Source organism: Homo sapiens, chromosome 10 (assembly GCF_000001405.40).
Source record: "Homo sapiens chromosome 10, GRCh38.p14 Primary Assembly".
NCBI classification, from domain to species: domain Eukaryota; kingdom Metazoa; phylum Chordata; class Mammalia; order Primates; family Hominidae; genus Homo; species Homo sapiens.
In genome coordinates this window covers 1174688-1194061 of record NC_000010.11, presented here as the reverse complement: position 1 = coordinate 1194061, position 19374 = coordinate 1174688, and the positions used below count along the sequence as shown (strand labels likewise).

Below are 19374 nucleotides of genomic sequence, written 5' to 3'. Positions count from 1 at the left end.
AAGTCTGAATGCATGTAATAAGAGTTCCAGAAAAAGTAATGGAACAGGAGAGATATTTAAAGAGATCACAACTAAGAATTTCCAAGACAAACAAAAAGCATCCAAATGCAGATTTGAAAAGCACATTGTACCCCAAGAATAACTTTTTTTAATTCTCATCTCAGTGGTTAAATTGCTGAAAAACAGAGACCAAAAAAATCTTAAAAGCAGTCAGGAAATGAAAGACAAACTCACTTCAAAGGAGCTAAATCAGACTGGTAACTGATTCTCAGAAGACAAAAAAACAATGAAATGGCATCTTTAAAATGCTGATAGAAAAACAATCTCAACTTACGATCTGATATCAAGAAAAAGCATCCTTCAAAAACGAAGGTGAGACAGCGTTTGCAGACAAACACTGACAGAGTCTAACTATGGTGGACTCACTCTCCAGAAAACACTCCATGTGTTATCTGGGCTTAAGAAAAACAATCTCAAATGAGTAATGCCGACTGAAGAGCAATGAAAACCAGCCACACTTTTATCCAGTTTGAAACCTGGCATATTACTACATTTTGAGTACTAGGGCACAAAAATACATAATTTGGAACAGCAAAAGACCCCATTCCCCCAAAGTCCCTTTGTCCCATATCTTTTGAAATAATGACAATCCTTACAGAAGCCAAAAGTCATGTCATTATCAGGCTGAAAAATGAAAAATGCAGATTCTTTCCTCTGCCATGGAAATTTCACATCTTCTGAAGCCTCCTGTGAGCCTCTGCACTTTAACCTCGGGGGAACCTGAGCGGTCGTCCATCCTCCCGACTCCTCGGTGGTCTCTTAGGAATAAAGTTCCTGGAGATCAGTGGAGGCACAAACCCTCCTGAGAGGACACCGCCCAGGCCTTGGCATCCCCGGACATCACTGCTGTCCCAGCAGAACTTGCACCCGGGACATTCACAGACGGTGCAGCCAGCGTGGCCCGTTCCACACCCTGCAGATGCCTGCCTTCCACCCTCAACACCTCCACCTCAAACCAGTCACATGAGGGAAGGCGAGGAAAAGCCACCATGGCCTCTGTGTTTTCAACATTCATATTCCCTTCTGGCTTGCAGGAATCCACAGAATTTTCTTTCTTTTGAGACGGAGTCTCGCTCTGTCACCCAGGCGGGAATGCAGTGGCGCGATCTCGGCTCACTGCAACCTCTGCCTCCCGGGTTCACGCCATTCTCCTGCCTCAGACTCCCAAGTAGCTGGGACTACAGGCACCCGCCACCAGGCTGGCTAATTTTTTTTTGTATTTTTAATAGAGACAGGATTTCACCGTGTTAGCCAGGGTGGTCATGGCTCATGATCCACCTGCCTTGGCCTCCCAAAGTGCTGGATTACAGGCGTAAGCCACCGTGCCAGGCCGAACCCACAGAAGTTTTTAGGACTATCTCACAGCAGAAAGAACCAGCTGTCCATCCTCAGTTAACCCTACCATCTCCAGCCTCCATAGTACTTTTTATGTTTCTTATAAATGTGCTGTATCAAAGCAAGACAGCAGCTATAAAATTACTGGCAATTATAAAGACATTCATATCAATGATAATGAATAAAACGGCATTAATACAGCCTTAGAAGTTAGTTACCCCAAATCCATAAGTCCACATTAAATTTACCAGCTCTTCCATTAAGGGTGTGTGGGTGTGCGTGAGAGAGAGAAAGACCCCGCAGCGTGTCTGGCCATATAGAAAACTCAGGAGATCTCTCTGATTCCTTTAGCTTTATGAATCTGTGCAGGCCCAGATGCCATGCTATTTCATTCACTCTGCAAAATTAAATGCAGTGCTACCCAGTGACACAGACTTGCCTCACTGCATGTAAAAATTATACTCCTGAGATGTCTTGTGTAAATTTAATTTTGGGAAAGTAAGTTACCTTGTAAATATAGTAGGCTCACTTTGAAGAAATGCTGTAACGTCTCACTTACATAATGCCTTTTTAAAAAGGTAAATAAGGATTTTCTTCAAGTCAGGCATCTTTTTATAGCTCCGCGAGCCACAGTAAAACTCACTTTCATAGATGAGTTGTGGATTCACCCCCACCGGTCCTAGTAATGGTGATGTAACAGCAGTGGTTGTGCTGATCACGGTGGTAGTTGAAGCAGTGCTGGTAGGAGTGGTTAATTCACTTGTCGGAAGCCACACTGCCAGTATGTCACAGAAGTGAGTCCAGCTTTGCTCTGCTGCCAGAGCCCACTGTTAACACGATTGTGTGTGTTTAGCAAAAAGGTCACACAATCTCATCAGGCTGATCTCTGTACACCAGACAACCTGGCAGAATATTCATGTCAAAGGCTCCGGGAGACCAGCTTATTCCTATACAGATCTACTCTGAAATAAGACAGCTCCCTAAAAAATGTTCTCAGAGATGAATGGCCCATATGCTGCATGGTATATTTACAAATTAATAAATGCAACACATCCCTGAGTTACGTACCAGGTTTAACAAGCGTCTGTGAGCGTGGTTCCATTACAGACGGCTCAGGGAGAAGCTGCTCAGGTAGCGAGGGCGTTATTCCCAAGGCCGCTTGGGAGCAATTACTAAAAAAACGTGGGGCCCGACCCTGCTCACCACCAGGCTACACAGTGTTTCAGGGACACCTTTTTTCCTCACCCTTCCTTGGGCTTCCTACACAGATTTTCAAATCCAAGGTCCTACCCAACGGAGGCCACCCTCACTCAGCAGGTGCACGTGCCGGGTGCCCCGTGCATCCCCAGGTTGCTCTGCACATCCAGCCAGTGGCACAGAACTGCTCTCTGGGCAGCCCTGGCCCCCCACCCTCCTGGACCGTGAGCCCCGCTGGTCCTCATCACACACAGAAGGTCCAGAGGGAAAGAAACAGATGCGGGGAGAAGTAGCCCATGAGCTGCCACCTGCAAACCCCTGTTCTACGCCGTGTGGGGCCCAGAGTGTGCAAACCCCCATTCTGCGGAGTGTGGGGCCCAGAGCGTGCAAACCCCCATTCTACTCAGTGTGGGGCCCAGAGTGTGCAAACCCCCATTCTGCAGAGTGTGGGGCCCAGAGCGTGCAAACCCCTGTTCTGCGAAGTGTGGGGCCCAGAGCGTGGGGCTGCCCCTCCTCCGGAAGAGCGCTGCTCACTCCGTCCTTAGACCAGTCCCGAAGTTCACTCCCAGTGGGCTGGATAATGGCCCCCACCGATGCCAAGTCCTAATCCCTGACCTGTAAATTACCTTGTCTGAAAAAAGGGGTCTTTGCAGATGTGAGTAAACTAAGGATCGTGAGATGGAAGATGATCTGAATTATCTCAGTGGGTCCTGCCTGCAGCCACCTCTGTCCTTAGAAGAGGGAGGCGGGGGAGATATGGCACATGCAGAGAAGCCGGTGAGGATGCAGGCAGAGATGGGAGTGAAGCCGCTACAAGCCAGGAAGCCTGGGATTGAGCAGAGGCTGGGAGAGTCAAGAAGGGGTCTCTCCAGAGCCTCTGAAGGAGGTACAGCCCTGCCCACACCTTCAGACTTCCAGCCTCCAGAGCTACGACAGGACAGATTTCTGCTCTTTTAAGCCAACACATGTAGCAATGTGTTACAGCAATCACCTAAAACAAATACAGCCTACAAAAGTACAATTTTCTGTGCATGTGGAAACCACATTAGAATACACAGTATCGTTCCTGTGTTGCCATACACCGAAGGCAGGAGGTGCATCACAGAAGTGTTCCACAGGGTTAATTTGGATTTGTTGTAGCTTCTGGATGCCAGAGGTTCACAGGAATTTTGGCCTCACAGGGCGGCCTGCAGAGTGAGAAGCGTGGGACCCCTGTGCAAGCACGTGTACGTGTTTGTCCACAGCACTGGGGTATCTGTGTGCAATTTCTTGGGAGGACGCGTTTCTCCTCGGAGCTCAGCTGCTGATGCTCATGTTTTCTGAGTTCAGACTCCTGCGTGCAATTTCTCAGGAGGACGCATTTCTCCTTGGAGCTCAGCTGGCCTGATGCTCACGTTTTCTGAGTTCAGACGACACAGGCTCTGTCCCTCAATCGCCACAGGTCTGTTGGCACCTTTCACTGCTGGAGATTCCCTGAATCCCCTCCAGGAGACATTTTGTGCTGTGAACTGGGGAAGGAGGTAGCGCCACGTGTTCGGGGGAAGGAGGTAGCGCCACGTGTTCTGGGGAAGGAGGTAGCGCCACGTGTTCTGGGGAAGGAGGTAGCGCCACGTGTTCTGGGGAAGGAGGTAGCGCCACGTGTTCTGGGGAAGGAGGTAGCGCCACGTGTTCTGGGGAAGGAGGTAGCGCCACGTGTTCTGGGGAAGGAGGTAGCGCCACGTGTTCTGGGGAAGGAGGTAGGGCCATGTGTTCTGGGTGGACTGGGTCACCAGGTATGTGCTGCTGTGTTATCTTGAGGAACAGGGTGGGACAGGCCTGAGTAGGTGCCCCTGCAGCTGCAGACACCCTCTGTCCTTGGGACTCGAGTTCCGTCTTCAATCAGCCGATGCCCACTTCAGGAGGAATGAGCCAGGAGTTAATGCATTTTCACATTTCCAGCCACAGGAGTTAAAATTAAACACAAGCCAGGCTTTCATTTCTAGGCCTGAGCACATGTGTCTTCACCTTGTCTGGCTCTATCCACAACTACCGCTAGCAATGCAATCCAGCTGAGTTAAAGTTTAGCCCTAACACCTTCAACCCTTTCGAAACCCACTTCTCCACGGCCAGGAAGGTGCTCGACAGGAACACCATGAGCAAGCAACTGGACCAGCTCCCAGAAGGCTCTGCATGTCTTTGTACGGCACCTGGGAAACTGGTGGAAAATTATAAAATCAGTGCACCATGAGAGATCATTCACACATGAGCAGAAGGCTCCTGAGAAACCAAGTGGCTCCCCCAGGCCAAAATAAATAAAACAAAGAAAGGAAGAGCCTGGAGTGACCTGATGTCCCAATGCTGGAGTGTCCTCAGGAGACATCCCAGGACAGGGAGTTACCTCCTTGAGGGTGACTCAGGCTGCGGGGAAATGGAAAGAGAGTGAAAGCGCACGAGGCCATGGCCCTTCCATGTCGGTGAGGAAGAGATGGCCCTCCTGGAGCCTGGGCACCTGGTGCGGGAGGGCTGGGCCCCAGCGTGGGAAGAGGGCCTGGCTGCTGGCCGCACTGGAGAAGGAAACTTCTGGTTCCTCAGAGCAAGCAGCCCGCTCCTGACTGCACTTCCTCTCACCATAAGGGATCTGTTCCATGGAAAGAGTCATTAACGGCAAACCTAATAGTGAGACTGACATGAGCATCCATGAGCATCCGTTTCTCTGCACATTAGACTCCAGGGATCTGGGCCGTGGTTCCCGCTCCACGGGCATGATCAGCTGCAGATATTAGTCACAGCGATGTCAGAAACTACTGCCTGTGTGAGTATTCAGGAAACATCCCAACACTATCTCTCTATGGAAGGTTTATTAAAAAAAAAAAAGACAAGAAGGTAGAAGAAAAAAAAAAAAAGGACTGCTATTCTTCCAGGCTGCCTTGGGAAGTTTTTCTTTTGCCAGCAGAACACAGAGGGGAGCAGACCCTTCCCTAGAAGCTCAAAGCGTAAGCACATGGTCCTGTCCCCTGCAGAGGACAAATAAAGGGAACAGAATGTGTTTTCCGTGAAAGGAACAAGGAACTGACCTTTGCTTGTTGGTCGGTTCCTCCGTTCCCTGGACACAATTAGGTGATTGTAACTAAGTTGGAAATGTTCCCTGTGATCTAACTAGAAACATTTTTGATCTGTGTGACTTGGAGAACACGAAACAAACTGCAGTTGGCCTTCAAATCCTCCTTCAGATGAAAACAGCAGCATTCATAGCCTGGGTGCTCCAAAAGTGCTCTTATTTGCCTGGTTTGATCTTCACATCACCTCGTGAAGTAGAGAAGTCACCTGTCACAGAGCGGTAAGTGGAGGATGACCTCGGGCCACAGAACTCAAACTGCCTGGAACTCCAGCCACCTGGTTCCTGGTCAGTGGGAGAGGCCCCTGGGGTGCATTTTCCACCTCCGGGGTCATGGACAGGCTTGGATATTGAAGATTGCTCCTGGGTTTACACCACTTTCTATGTTAAACAGTAGCCTGCGGGGCTGTTGTAGTTAGAACTGAATGATTTACAGTGTGATTTACGTCATCACAGGTGAGCTGAGATGTTATTTACAGCAGACACTGTCCTCCCTGTGCACATATGGACACATGGGACCACACCCTGGTGAGAAGAAGCCCCCATGCAAGGCTGGACGACCCCGCAGCCCACCCGCCAGCGCCTCCCTCGCTGCCCCACCAGCTCCTTCCTTCTGTCCCCGGAGTGTGGAGCAGTGCACGTGCTGGGTTCACACCCACGTCCTCACAGCTGCCTTCCCGGTGGTGTTTGGGCCTCGTCATGCCTGGCAGCCAGGAGCGTTGGGAGGAAACCCCGTCAGACGGCAGCTGGCCAAGGGCTAGCAGCAACTTGCCCACAACGTCCTCCGCAAAGAGAAAGGAGAGGGGCACAGGCCGGAGCCAGGGCATCCTGACAAGGAACCAGGAGGTCCTGTGTAGACCTCAGGCTCCCAAGGCTTTCCTCTGAGTTCAGACTTTGCAGCTTGGCACCTCAGTGGTTGGCCCTGATGGTCATGGAGACCAGAAGGATGGGAGCAGGAGGAGGAGGGGAGGCCGCCTGGCGATGGGAGCGGGAGGAGGAGGGGAGGCCGCCTGGTGACGGGAGTGGGAGGAGGAGGGGAGGCTGCCCAGTGCACGCAGATCAGGGTAGTGACTGCCTCTCCCAGTGCCCGGTCATCCCTGGCCTTGGTGGCTGGCTCCTCCTGCCCAGGCGGCCCCTGCCTAGTAGGACAGCCACAGCGGCCAACGGGCCAGATTGTCCCTCCCGGCTCTCGGGGTGGCAGCTGCCACCGTGAATCACTTGAAGGAAAAAGGAAGAGCTGACATGAACGGGATTCGCTTGGGTGTCCCACATCACCTGTCTGTGGCCAGCAGAAGCTCACCAGGTGACTTTCGAAGTGGTTGGCAAATGGGCCATGTGCTCAGTCTGTCCACAGAGCTCAGGCTCGTGGATGAAGCTGGGAGCAGCAGAGGATCTGGGGTCTGTGGCTGTGCAACTCTGTAGTCAGTGGGTCTTCCCCGAATTTAAATGAAGCCTGCTTCCAGGAAGGTGTTATGAGCTGTGCTACCACGTGACGTGGGGACAGCTTCCTCCCGGGAGTCTGCTATGGCGGGAACCCACTCGCACCAGCTCAGCCCACCAGGTCTTTGCTCTCAGACCAATGCTGACACCTGGGCCTCTCCACCAATAGCCAGTGGCTTCCCAGGGACCTGAGCAGGCACTTGGCTGGCCTATATGCAATGCCCTGGCCAAGACGCCAAGTTCTTCTCTGCAGGCACCGCCATCTCACGTGATGCATGACGGGCCCCCGAGAACTCAGGGGCCCCGCTCGCCTCCAAGCACCACAGGACAGCAGGCCAGGAAGGCAGGAAGGGCTGGAGAGGCAGAGCTGATCTGCGAGGAGGCATGAATGAGAGGGAGACACCCGGCCAGCTGGGCTTGGGGAACGCGTCAGGTAGAGGCCATGCAGGTGCCGCGGGAGGTGGGAGATTCAGGAGGCACCAATGGGACAAGGGATCTTGGGTTATAAACCAAGCGTCTCAACACCACTGCTGTGAGTGGGAGCCTGGACTCCCTGCCGACTCACTGTTGTGTGGACCATGCATCTTCCTATGAGACTCTGAGCAGAGACAGGGCCAAACAGCACGTGCCTCCCCCACCACCCATGGACGTCTGAGGGCCACGTCCACCATGCTGGGTCCATGAGGAAGCCCTGGGCATGGGAAGAAGTGGGCTTTGTCCCCAGGACGCTGCCTCTGGCGTCCCATAGCCTGTATTCCTCTGATGCCTTCCCCACCCCGAGGGTCACATTGCCAAATGCAGCCTTCAGAAGGGACTGAAAGAGACAATGAATTGGCGGGGCTCAGCTGCACCGGAATCTCATGTTTTGGAATCCTCAGGCCGTCACAGGGCAGGGTCTCGGCAGGTGCCCCCTGGAGTTTCCAGACATCTTGTGGCAGCATGTCCAGAAGCCCCAATCAGCACAGGAGCACCTCAAGGAGTCAGGGCTGGGGCCACAGTTAGAAGCCAGAAAGTGCACCACCCCCAGCTGCAAAGCAGCTGCCACCCCAGAGTGGAGACCTCCTCATCCACCCTTCTGCACTGTGAGCTGGGCTGCAAGGACTGTATGGTCCGGGTTAAAAGTCCAAGCACACAAGAGGCAACACTTTTGAAACGAGGGCTTCCCTGAAGATGCCGGCTCTCTCTGGACAGGACCAGCATCGTGGGCATGCAGCCCTGCAGCTCACACAGGCACCTGAGCTTAGACGAACCCATGCTTGGTTTAACGCCCCACTGTCATCATGAAATTCTTCGTAACTTTCGAACAAAAGGCCCCATATTTCCGCTGTGCACTGAGTCTCAAACACTCTGTAGCCAGTGCGGTTTCAGGATCACATTGCGGATCAATTGATCCTACACTCATTTCTGCCTGGTTTTTATTGTTTTGTTTTGTTTTGTTTTTCTCATCAGCTAAACTGTAAACCCGAGGGAGCCAGGGAGCTGCATGTTGCTTACTAGCCCCGGTGTTTTGCCTCCAGCAGAGCGGGGCCTGCAAAGGTGCCTGATAAACACACTCTCAGATCACTTCCACGTGGCTCTGTTCATTCATTCACTCAACTAATATTTACAGAAGGGGGGGGAATCTGGACGGAGCTATATTATCACCAGACTATTAAAATCTTCGATTAGAAGGTTGACGCAGGTGCAGCGACGCCGTGGACCCGAGGCGGCCACCACGATCCTGCCCAATTTGCAGCCTCCGCCCTGCGGGTGACACGTGAACTGGCCAGTCCTGAGGATGAAAAGGGAGGACCATTCCCACTCACATACAGGCTCCATTTCCCCGCAGCTGCCCTTGGGGGAGCCCCGTGTGAGGCCAGGAATATTAACGCCCGCCTTTCCCCATCTCCCCGACAGGCGTGAGTGACGCCGAGGCGCGCCAGCCGGGGAAGTCGCCCCCCTTCAGCATGAACTGGGTCGTGGGCAGCGCGGACCTGGAGATTATCAACGCCACCACTGGGCGGAGGAGCTGTGGGGGCCCATCCCGGCTCTGCAAGCACGTGCTGTCTGCACGGTGGGCGCGGCTGTATGGCAGGGTAGGTCGCACCCATCCTTGCAGGGAAACTGGACCCAGCCAGACCCTGGCTCCAGCCCTGAGCAAGCTCTTGGGAGAGGCCAACACTTGGTCTGCAGGGAGGGAGATGCACGACACAGCGCCCATCACATGTCCTTTTCCCAGCTGCCCAGGCCAGCAGCGTTTCCCCTGTAGGCTTGAGACCCTGCTACCCCAGGCACCGCCCCCAGACCAGGCTGGAGCTGCAGAAGCAGGAAAGGAGCTCATTGCTGAACCCCTGACGGAGCCGGCACGGCACCACCTGCTTTGTTCGGGGTGTCCCAGAAGCAGCTCCTGGGGACTTTTGAAGTCGATACTATTCCCGGTTTAGATATCAGGAAACCGACACTCAGAAAAATTGTGTAATTTCCCCAAAATTTCACAGGTAATGAATTTCAGAATTCGAATTTCTCCCCAACCCCAAAGCCCAAGCATTTCCACGACATCCACAATTAGGAGCAAATTTCTCCTTCACAAGTAGGGATAACAGCAATATTTCTGGATTTTAAATCAAAATCTGTATCTGTATGCATTTCCAAAGCATAGACTGTAACCAAAAACAACAAATAACAGAAAAACCAGCCAACACATAAAAAATGCCTCTCTCATTTTTCCACACTTTTTAATCCAAGCAGGAATAATAGTGTTGATTTGTCAACTGGTAGAGGAGGGCAGGCATACTAATGCCTAAAATAAACGTTTTAGCCAACTTAGAGGACACTCAGAATTGCACATATTAGCTCTGAGCTTGGCCGAGACGCCCAGCATCCTGCAGCTCTCAGCCTCTGTCCTGTCCGCTCAAGGGCACTGCCGGGGTCTCCCTTCTCCTGGAGACTTGGAAGGTCAGGGAAGCGTCGATGCTGTCCTGCTGAGCAAAAGGGCCCTCTCCTCTTGCACATGCTCGAGGTGACCCCCCGGTGAGTGCCTCCCTGGAAGACCCGCTGTGGGATTTGGAGCTCCCCCATGGCCCCATCCTCTTCCCTCCTGGCCTCCCTGCCCCGTGGTGGGGGTATCAGAGCTGCATTTGATCCCTGTCTTGTGTTGCTGCAAAGCTTTGCCTGGCAGACCTCAGAAAGCTAACAGAGGAAACGCCCCAGCTCCATCATCCTCCTGCTCAGCCGACAACATGACTCTCACCAGCCTGCTCCCTGCCCACTGTGATGCTGTTTTAGCTCCCACTGTCCCCCTCTGTCCCCAACCCTGCCTGGAGCCCCTGCACAGTGTTCATACTTTTAGTAGCAGTCAAGTTTATCCGCTCATTCATCATTCACACCTCAGATGAAGCGGGTTTCCTTGATGACTAGGTTTCCTGTGGAATTGCCAGAGGACCTGGTCACAGTTGCTCTCTGTAATAGTGGGAGAAAGAAAGGCAGAAGGCCAAGGCCAGGAGCTGATGCCTGGCATGTAAAACTCACCTAGCAGAAGCTCCTTTTCTGCTGGTGTCTGATTGGCTCTTTCTCCTTCTTGTCCGCAGCTGAGCACACGGACACCCAGCCCTGGAGACACGCCCTCCATGTACTGTGAGGCCAAGCTGGGGGCGCACACCTACCAGTCTGTGAAACAGCAGCTGTTCAAGGCCTTTCAGAAGGCTGGCCTGGGCACCTGGGTGAGGAAACCACCGGAGCAGCAGCAGTTTCTACTGACTCTCTAGGCTGCGGGCTCCTGGCTGCTGGAGCTGAGCGGGACGCTGGAGGGATGGGACCGTGTCTGGGGGGCGACGTGGCGGGTCGGCCGGTTCCCTGCATTCGTTTTACTTTGGTGTCCCAGAAACACGCGAGTGTGCAATGTTTGGACGAGCAACAACACAAATTCAGAACGTGCCTCTTTCCAGATCGCTGGCCCCAGAACCCTGTCCCCCACACCCAGGGGCACATGCACTGTTGAGTTAGCGCCGACTCTTCCTGTGGAGTCTGAGGGAGGGGCTCCATTCAGGCAAAGGGGTTTTAGCTGCAGCCTTGGAAGGAGGCACCGACACGACACCAGGCAGGAGTGAGCCTCAGGCCCCGTCCCTGCACCCCACCCCTGCGTGCGCCTCTTGGTGATGCTGGGGTCTCACTAGCTTGAGGGGGCACATGAAGATAAGCCACAAATGAAGAGAAAAGCCATGCCCACCCCAGCCCCAGAGAAACCAATAAGAATCCTCTATTATTTTCACTATTCATTTAGGTTTTTATACTCCACCTCCTTTCAAAAAAGATTTAAGATGTACGACATTACCGAACACCTAAAATAGAACCAGAGAAACGAAAGCCATTCCCACAAAGTGAAGGAACAGTTTCCAAAACCCCTGCGAGGCAGAGTTAAGACCTGTGACGTGGGGAGCCTGGAAACACCCGGCCCACGCGTGCTGCAGATGTGGGGAGCCTGGAAACACCCGGCCCACGCGTGCTGCAGATGTGGGGAGCCTGGAAACACCCGGCCCACGCGTGCTGCAGATGTGGGGAGTCTGGAAACACCCGGCCCACGCGTGCTGCAGATGTGGGGAGCCCGGAAACACCTGGCCCATGCCTGTTCAGTCCGTCATGGCGTTTGGTTTATGGTGGCCGATACTAAGAGCCACTGAGGTCTGGGTTGTGTAAGGGTTAGCTACCACCCTATAACCTCCCTACCAGGTAATAAGGAGACCAAGTCTTTGATCAAATTCTGATTTTTTAACTAAATTTTCATTAGAAAGCAAGCACAAAATAAAATCAAAACAACCTTTACCTTCAGCTTGAGAGGCTACCAGCTCTCTATTCTTTCAGATTCTCCAATCAACACCTTGCAGGACAAGACCCCAAAAAAGTTCAGCTGTCAAAAAATGTAAGAGGCAGGATTCTGTGACCCTCAGAGCAGGCTTCCAACACCAGAGACCTTCAGCTCACAGTGGAGATGGGACATGGGGGCTTTAGCCCACAGCATCATCCCTGAGAGCCAAGGCGCTGTATTCATACGGGGTCAGGCTCTTTTCCAAGTATCTTTACGTAATCCATGTACCTCGAGCTGCTGTCATCTCACCTCCGAGAACTCATTTCTAACATTCATCATGCTAGATAGCCAGTCTCTCATTTCTCCAACTTAAAAAATCCATCTCTGAAATTCATGACAGTGATGGCAGACGGCAAAGCATGGTGGTGTCCACCTCTGGGGTGTGGGCTTCCCGGAAAGAATCCCAGCTGACCACCCCAGAAAGTGCAAGAATAACATTGTGCTGTACATAGTCAAGTGCTATAAATTACAGTTATCATAATGAGAAGGCAGAAATGAAACTGAGTTGTAGCTATTTGTTACAAGATAATAAGAAGTAGAGATATTAGTATGGAAAAAGAAACTTTTCCTGGGATTTAAAATCAGGCCAAATTTATCACTCGAGTTCTTTTAGAAAAGAAAACAGGTACTGGAGTAGACAACTTCTTCCAGATAAAGTTTCAAAAGATACGAGAACATTTTTTCAAATAAAGGACTCACATTAATCTTTTATAAAAATCACAAAAATAAATGAAATCTTAATTCAGTGCAAAAGCTAAGCTCAAACGACCAGTTTCTATTAAGTTCTGGTAACTTGACATCACTAGGATGAAGCTTAGAGAACTTAGAGTCGAGAGGTGATGGGTGGCTCAGACATTCGCAGCAGTCAGAAGTGAGCGCTCCCCTGAATGCGTGGGAGCACGGCCAGCTCCTGGCTGAAGTCTCCCACCCAGGCCTCAAATCACCTTCATCTGAGATGTTGGCTAGAGAAGCATATAATGCTTTGTCCCAGTGGGCTCCAAATCACGCTGTTTCTGCAGCGAGGGGGCCTGTGTTGTAAGCAGATTTCACTGTCACAGGGAAGACGCAGGGTCTGATTCACGGGACTCGGAAAGCGCTCGGCCACCCAGTGGCCAGCATCATGAAGCCACAGCTGGGGGGTTGGGATTCGTTTTGTCTCAGGCATTGACCTTCCAGAAACAACTCAGACTTTACTGAAATATCAACATCCACATCTGGAGAAAGCCACACATTAATTCCATGCTACCCATTAGTACAAGTGTATGGATTCGTGTATTAAGTCCACAGGAGACTCCATGGAAGGAGAGATTAAAGCTCTTCAGAGAAGGCCGATAGCGACAGAAGAGTTTCCAATGCAGCCAGAGTGAGGTTGAGGTGCCGGAGCCTTTCCGTGGAGGGATCTGTCAGAGGGGATGTGGGCTGCAGAGGGGACCCCACGTAAGGAAAGGAGGGTCCCAGGCCCTGGGTAGTGAAAGGAGAAGGTAGTCGAGGCAGTCAAGGGTGACCCTACACGCAGGAGGCACGCCACACCAGATCACGCCACACGCAGGCTGCTCCCAACTGGCAGGGCCTGACCCAGCCAGGAAGGGCCAGGTCCTAGGATTCCACAGTGCCAGGAGTGCCCGAAGGGGCCAGGTCCCAGGATTCCCACAGCCCCAGGTGTGCCTGGAAGACCCGGGTCCCAGGATTCCCACAGCCCCAGCTATGCTTGGGGGGGCCGAGTCCCAGGATTCCCACAGCCCCAGGTGTGCCTGGAAGACCCGGGTCCCAGGATTCCCACAGCCCCAAGAGTTCCCGGAAGAGCTGGGTCCCAGGATTCCCACAGCCCCAGCTATGCTTGGGGGGGCCGGGTCCCAGGATTCCCACAGCCCCAGGTGTGCCTGGAAGACCCAGGTCCCAGGATTCCCACAGCCCTGGATGTGCCTGGAGGGGCTGTGCCACCTCTGCAGAGATGGAAGGGCTCGTGTTGAAGCCTGAGGATTTCGCCCTCAGGTCCAGGTCAGAACATCCCAGCACCACTTTCAGGCCATGTCTGCCCTGCAGTTTTGACCACTGAATTGGTCTTAAGAGTGGCCACCCATTCCCCTCCAAGTGAGGGGGCAAGACACAAGTAGGGGACGGGTCACTTTCTGTCACCCTGAAAATACGCTGGGCACGACACAAGTAGGGGATGGGTCACTTTCTGTCACCCTGAAAATACGCTGGGCACGACACAAGGGGGGCTGATGAAGTCAGGCCCGCCCCTCCAAGTCCACCTCGAAATCACCGTCTGGCTTCCTCGCACTTCCCACCACCTGACACCGCCAAGCCCCTTGCTTCAGATTTTCTGTGGTCTGTATTCATACCCTTGCTTCAGATTTTCTGTAGTCTATATTCATGCCTGCTTAGGCCCCTACAAAAGTCCTCATAAAACCAGCACCACCTTTATCTGCCTCCAAAACACACACTGCTTTCCCATCAGGAAGATCAGCAATGTGGTTTCCGGCCTGGTTCTTAGTCAAAAAGTTAGTGTCTGGTGGTTTCTGGCCTTTTTGCAGGACGGGGCGCAGGGAACGGCTGCGCGGCCAGGCAGCCTCCGCTGTCCACCTCCAGCCCCGGTTTTGCAGCCGTGTGTGATATCAAGGGATAGAGTTAGGGTTTCTGTGGGTTTTGTTTTTGCTGAGGAAAGGATGTGCAGGTCGATAGCTATTGTTTCCTTTCCATTCCTGTGATTCTCTTTACATCTGTATATATCTATCACACCATGCTGACTTTGTGATGAGTCCTGTTCCTCAGAAACATCAAGCTGGGTTCCTTTTCAAAGAAACACACAGATCATATTTCTCCATCTCATTTTGTTTTCACAGGGAGCTTTTCTTATCAACAAAGTCGCATGCTTTTTTTTTTGGATATAATGTTTATCACGTCTGGAGAGCCATAAACAGTAAATACAGAGGATATCAATGCCCAGAATAGTTATTTTGATGAAATCCTATTTTTAGATAATAAATTTCAAGATGTGTCTATAGTGTATTGTTTAAAACAACTGAAGACATTTGAGACGTACATAAAGTAGACATTTTTAATTTAGGGAAACTTATATGCCCTTTTTTAAGAAGCCATTCTAATAAAATAATCTGACTAATTGGCCCAAAATACAATAAGTATCACTTTCTAACAGAGACCAAAGGGAAGCTGAGAGGCTTTCCTTTTATGTACTACCGTTGGATCGCTGCAGCCGCCTCTCATAACACCCAACAGAACCCGGTGAGGCTCTGTGGGCTTCCCGCGGCCCTCAGGGAGGCTGCAGAGTCCCCTAGTCCATGTCAGGGAGCCGCCATCCCACATACCTCCAAAGCCTGTCCTCGCCTGCAGTTTTTGCAGAGCTCGCGGTTGGAGGTGGAAATTTAGAAGCCCTGTGTTGCAGGAGAGGCAGTAGCACCCCCAGGCAGCTCTTAGCAGGGACAGACCACCCCCCGCCTCGCTGGTATTTTAGGGTCTTTTGGTATTTTGCCACTGTGTGGGGCTAGGCGGGTGGCTGGAGGACACGGTGTAGGCCTTGCCGCTGTCTGGGTTCCTCGCCACTGCAGGAGCAGGGCTGTTTCTGGAAACACTGGGCTGCTGGTGACCCGTCAAACTTCTCCCACAAATTCTGAATCCGAGAAAGTGAAGGAAGGATGGTGGGGAAGTGAGGAGGCAGGAGCAGAGGCCACAGGGACCAACCAGAGATGCGGTGGAGACAGAGGAGCTTCCTTCTCAGGCTGTTTCTGGGAAGCCTGAGAGGCGGCCAGCACCACCCTCCGCTCACTCTCCCCTCAGCCTCTTCGCTTCCCTTCTCAACCCTTTCTCTCCTCCTCGCCTCTTCCCTTTCTTGCTGTCTTGTTAGTCCCTGTCCCAAAACTCCTGGCTCCTTTGTTCTGCTGCCGTGGCCCCCACCCAGGAGGAGGTCTCAGGCACCATCCCCCCACGAGGGATCCACACAACAGGTTCATGCTGGGGCTGGGGGAGCCCCGCTGGGTTCCTGATGCCTTGTGCACAGGGAGTTGCTGCAGTCATTTTTGGACTCTCCTGAATGTGTCCACATGTTCTGACCTCCCACCAGAAGGAACGCTGGTGGCCACATCTCTAGAGATCTATTTACTTTTTTGAGACCGGCTTATGAGATTGGCTAATTTTTGTATTTTTGGTAGAGATGGGGTCTCACCATGTTGCCCAGGCTAGTCTCGAACTCCTGGCCTCAAGTGATCTGCCCACCTCGGCCTCCCAGAGTGCTGGGATTACAGGCATGAGCCACCGCGCTGGCCTCTAGAGATTCACACCAAACAATATCACTCCTGCGGGAACCGCAGACAGATCAAACCCTGGTGAGAGGAACACTTTATTTCCCAACTCATCATCCTAAGCCAAGGTTGGAGGGATGAGCATTCCCTAAACACCAAGGCGAGATCACCTGGTCCCAGTGCCTCTTTTCACACAGGCCCTAGATTTCTATCTCTCTGCAGTTTATGCATCGGTAAAAAAAAAAAAATCTCTCCCAGTGTGCCCCGTTAGTTTTCAGCATTTTGTAAGCAAAATGAACTTAACACATAGTAATTCTAATTGAAGGTATGTACATAAAAAGCATGATAGAATGGCAATATTGTATCAATGGATGTACATTTGTAATATTTGTAAAAAAAAATCCAAAACCTTAAAATATGAATTTACATGTTAATTTGCCTCTAAGTTCTATAAATTGCACTTCAGTGATATCTAATAAGTGAATGTTTCTGTTAAGTAAATAAAAATATTCAGTAAAATTGTTCTTTCCTGGGTTGTTGGGCCTTTTTCATCAAGCAAAGTTCTGGGGGTCTCAAGACTGTACAATGTGTCCACCCACCCCAAAGAAGGGACACAATCAGCTCTAAAACCTTTTCCTGGCCAGGCGCGGTGGCTCACGCCTGGAATCCCAGCACTTTGGGAGGCAGAGGCCGGCGGATCACGAGGTCAGGAGATCGAGACCAGCCTGGCCAACACGGTGAAACCCCATCTATACTAAAATACAAAAAATTAGCCAGGCATGGTGGCGCATGCCTGTAATCCCAGCTACTCGGGAAGCTGAGGCAGGGGAATCGCTTGAAACTGGGAGGCGGAGGTTTCAGTGAGCTGAGATCAGGCCACTGCACTCCAGCCTGGTGACAGAGTGAGACTCTGTCTCAAAACAAACAAACAAACCCTTTTCCTTTTTCTAATGGTCACATCGACTAGTGGCCTCTGCCTGAGCAGCAGTTACTAGCCCGACATTAGCCTTACAGATTTACTGTAAATGAACTCATTATAATAGCACAGGGCCGGACGTGTAAAGAGCTCCCTCCGAGCCTTGAGCCCGCTTCCCATTAACTGCATAAAATGAATTAATCACTGCGTGCGTGACTTTGCGCCTCAGTTTTCTCACCAGTGTGTGAACACAGCCTTAGCCTCCTACTTCCCAGGGCTGCTGAGGGAGGCTTGAGGGGTTGAAGGGTTATGAAATCTGAGATGTTCGATGTTCTGAGTCCTCTCCCAGATTTGCCGTAGCTTTGCCATAACACACGGAGCACGGGTGTGGCTGGTAATTTTATGTAGAATACTAAGCCAGGTGGGAACTGGGGTGTAAGGGATTCCTAAACGTCTCGGGGGCTTGCGCCACAGCTCCATGTCAGTCTGCGTGGACTGAGCACCCCAGAATCCAGTAGAGTGTTTTCCCCGTGACACATCTTGCTGCTTTCCAGGGACCTAACTGTGGGCATGGCAGGCCCAGAAAGGGACATCCCTGTGCTGGCTGAAGGGACTTTGATTTCTCACTGTCACCCAGGAAATAGACTAAAATTACAGCCATGCTGAGTACGGGGCTCCAATGCTGCAGCCGGAGGGGCCGGGATAAGACGTCTTGTTTGGAGTTGTTGCTCTTGTCCACCTCGCGTCTCCAGTCCCACCCTACCTCCCTTCAGGCCAGGCTGCGGGTGCCTGCATTTGGAGGTGTTGCTCTCACCCACCCCGCGTCTCCAGTCCCACCCTACCTCCCTTCAGGCCAGGCTGCGGGTGCCTGCGTTTGGAGGTGTTGCTCTCGTCCACCCCGCGTCTCCAGTCCCACCCTACCTCCCTTCAGGCCAGGCCGTGGGTGCCTGCATTTTTTTTTTTTTGTCTGTGTGTTTCACATTAACCACAGTGATTCTCCACTCAAGGGAGGGTGCAGGGGGTCTCAGATGGGGGCAGAGGTGGAGGTGGGGGGGCTCTGAAAACACCCCAGAAGATTCTGATGCCTCCCCCTCATCCACAGGTGGGGGCCATTCCTCCGGGTGGGCTGTCAGCGCCCTAAAGAGCATCTCATTTCTTGGGCCTTATGATAAATTACCCCATAGACAGCAAAACAAGGGGTCAGGGTTATGGGCAGAGAATGAAGAAGACCTGCAGGTGTAAAGAGGGTTCAAGATGAACCTCAAAGGCGTCAGAGTTGCAAGGTGGCTCAGTGGTCCCTGGCCAGAGTCACTGAGCATGGAGAATCAGAGTGTTGGGAGGGATGGTTTAATGGCTCAGGGACAGAAAGGTCTCCAGCCTCATCTCTTAGTGGCCCAGAAGTGGCTCCTGGGGTTGGTCTTTGCTGTCACTCACAGAGGAGCCCCTCCTACCCAAAAAGGCCCTCGTTCTTGCCAGTGGGGGGGTCTGCCTCTTGGTAACCCCTCCAAACATAACGGCTTCACACATCTGCCCAGTCTTTCTTCACGCCTGCCCTCACCCCAGACAGCCTCGTCTCCTATGTCATTTTTCTTTCTTGTTGAGAATTTTTTTAAAGCATGAAACCTGAAGTTGATGATAAATCATCTTAGTGAGAGGTTTCAGCTAAGTGCATGTTCCCAAAGGAAGTAACCACCATCCACTCTGATTCTCAAAATCTGATAGGTGTGTGTGGGGTTGAAGGACAAAGTGGCCACAGCAGTGGTCCTTATGCTCTGTGATTGACACACCGCTCTGTGATTGACACGCCTTCGTCTGCTTTGAATCTTTTTTTTTTTTTTTTTTTGAGACAGAGTCTCGCTCTGTGGCCCAGGCTGGAGTGCAGTGGTGAGATCTTGGCTCACTGCAAGCTCCGCCTCCCAGGTTCACGCCATTCTCCTGCCTCAGCCTCCCGAGTAGCTGAGATTACAGGCACCACCACCACACCCAGCTAATCTTTTGTATTTTTAGTAGAGACAGGGTTTCACCGTGTTAGCCAGGATGGTCTCAATCTGCTGACCTCGTGATCCACCTGCCTCAGCCTCCCAAAGTGCTGGGATTAGAGGTGTGGGCCACCACACCCAGCCTGCTTTGAATCTATTAAATCCAGTTCCGTTAGTTGGGTTAAACTTGATGACGGAAATGCACTCTCCCTGGAGGGTTTCAGAAAGCCACTGCCCTTAAAGGGCCAGCTTTC

General features: G+C 52.0%; 1 protein-coding gene across 1 annotated transcript in view, besides 3 other annotated features; it reads left to right on the top strand.

Moving 5' to 3' along the window:
- The window catches only part of ADARB2 (adenosine deaminase RNA specific B2 (inactive)), a 560213-nt gene extending 543464 nt beyond the window's left edge, over nucleotides 1-16749 (top strand). Inside the window, exons 9-10 of the mRNA NM_018702.4 lie at nucleotides 9023-9201; nucleotides 10693-16749. Coding sequence (NP_061172.1) covers nucleotides 9023-9201; nucleotides 10693-10869 — 356 coding nt within the window. The 3' untranslated portion in view covers nucleotides 10870-16749. The remainder of the gene's footprint in view (nucleotides 1-9022; nucleotides 9202-10692) is intronic.
- Nucleotides 2474-2973: an enhancer, noted in NCBI's record as "H3K4me1 hESC enhancer chr10:1237029-1237528 (GRCh37/hg19 assembly coordinates)". NCBI's record gives its function as "activates a minimal SCP1, AML or CMV promoter by ChIP-STARR-seq in primed H9 embryonic stem cells {active_cell/tissue: H9 hESC(primed)}" and the evidence as "EXISTENCE:reporter gene assay evidence [ECO:0000049][PMID:30033119]".
- Nucleotides 3819-5018: an enhancer, noted in NCBI's record as "CDK7 strongly-dependent group 2 enhancer chr10:1234984-1236183 (GRCh37/hg19 assembly coordinates)". NCBI's record gives its function as "activates an origin of replication core promoter dependent on BRD2, BRD4, P300/CBP, MED14 and CDK7 cofactors, with strong dependence on CDK7, by STARR-seq in HCT116 cells {active_cell/tissue: HCT116}" and the evidence as "EXISTENCE:reporter gene assay evidence [ECO:0000049][PMID:35650434]".
- Nucleotides 9006-9606: an enhancer, noted in NCBI's record as "H3K4me1 hESC enhancer chr10:1230396-1230996 (GRCh37/hg19 assembly coordinates)". NCBI's record gives its function as "activates a minimal SCP1, AML or CMV promoter by ChIP-STARR-seq in naive H9 embryonic stem cells {active_cell/tissue: H9 hESC(naive)}" and the evidence as "EXISTENCE:reporter gene assay evidence [ECO:0000049][PMID:30033119]".
- Nucleotides 16750-19374: the final 2625 nt, after the last annotated feature.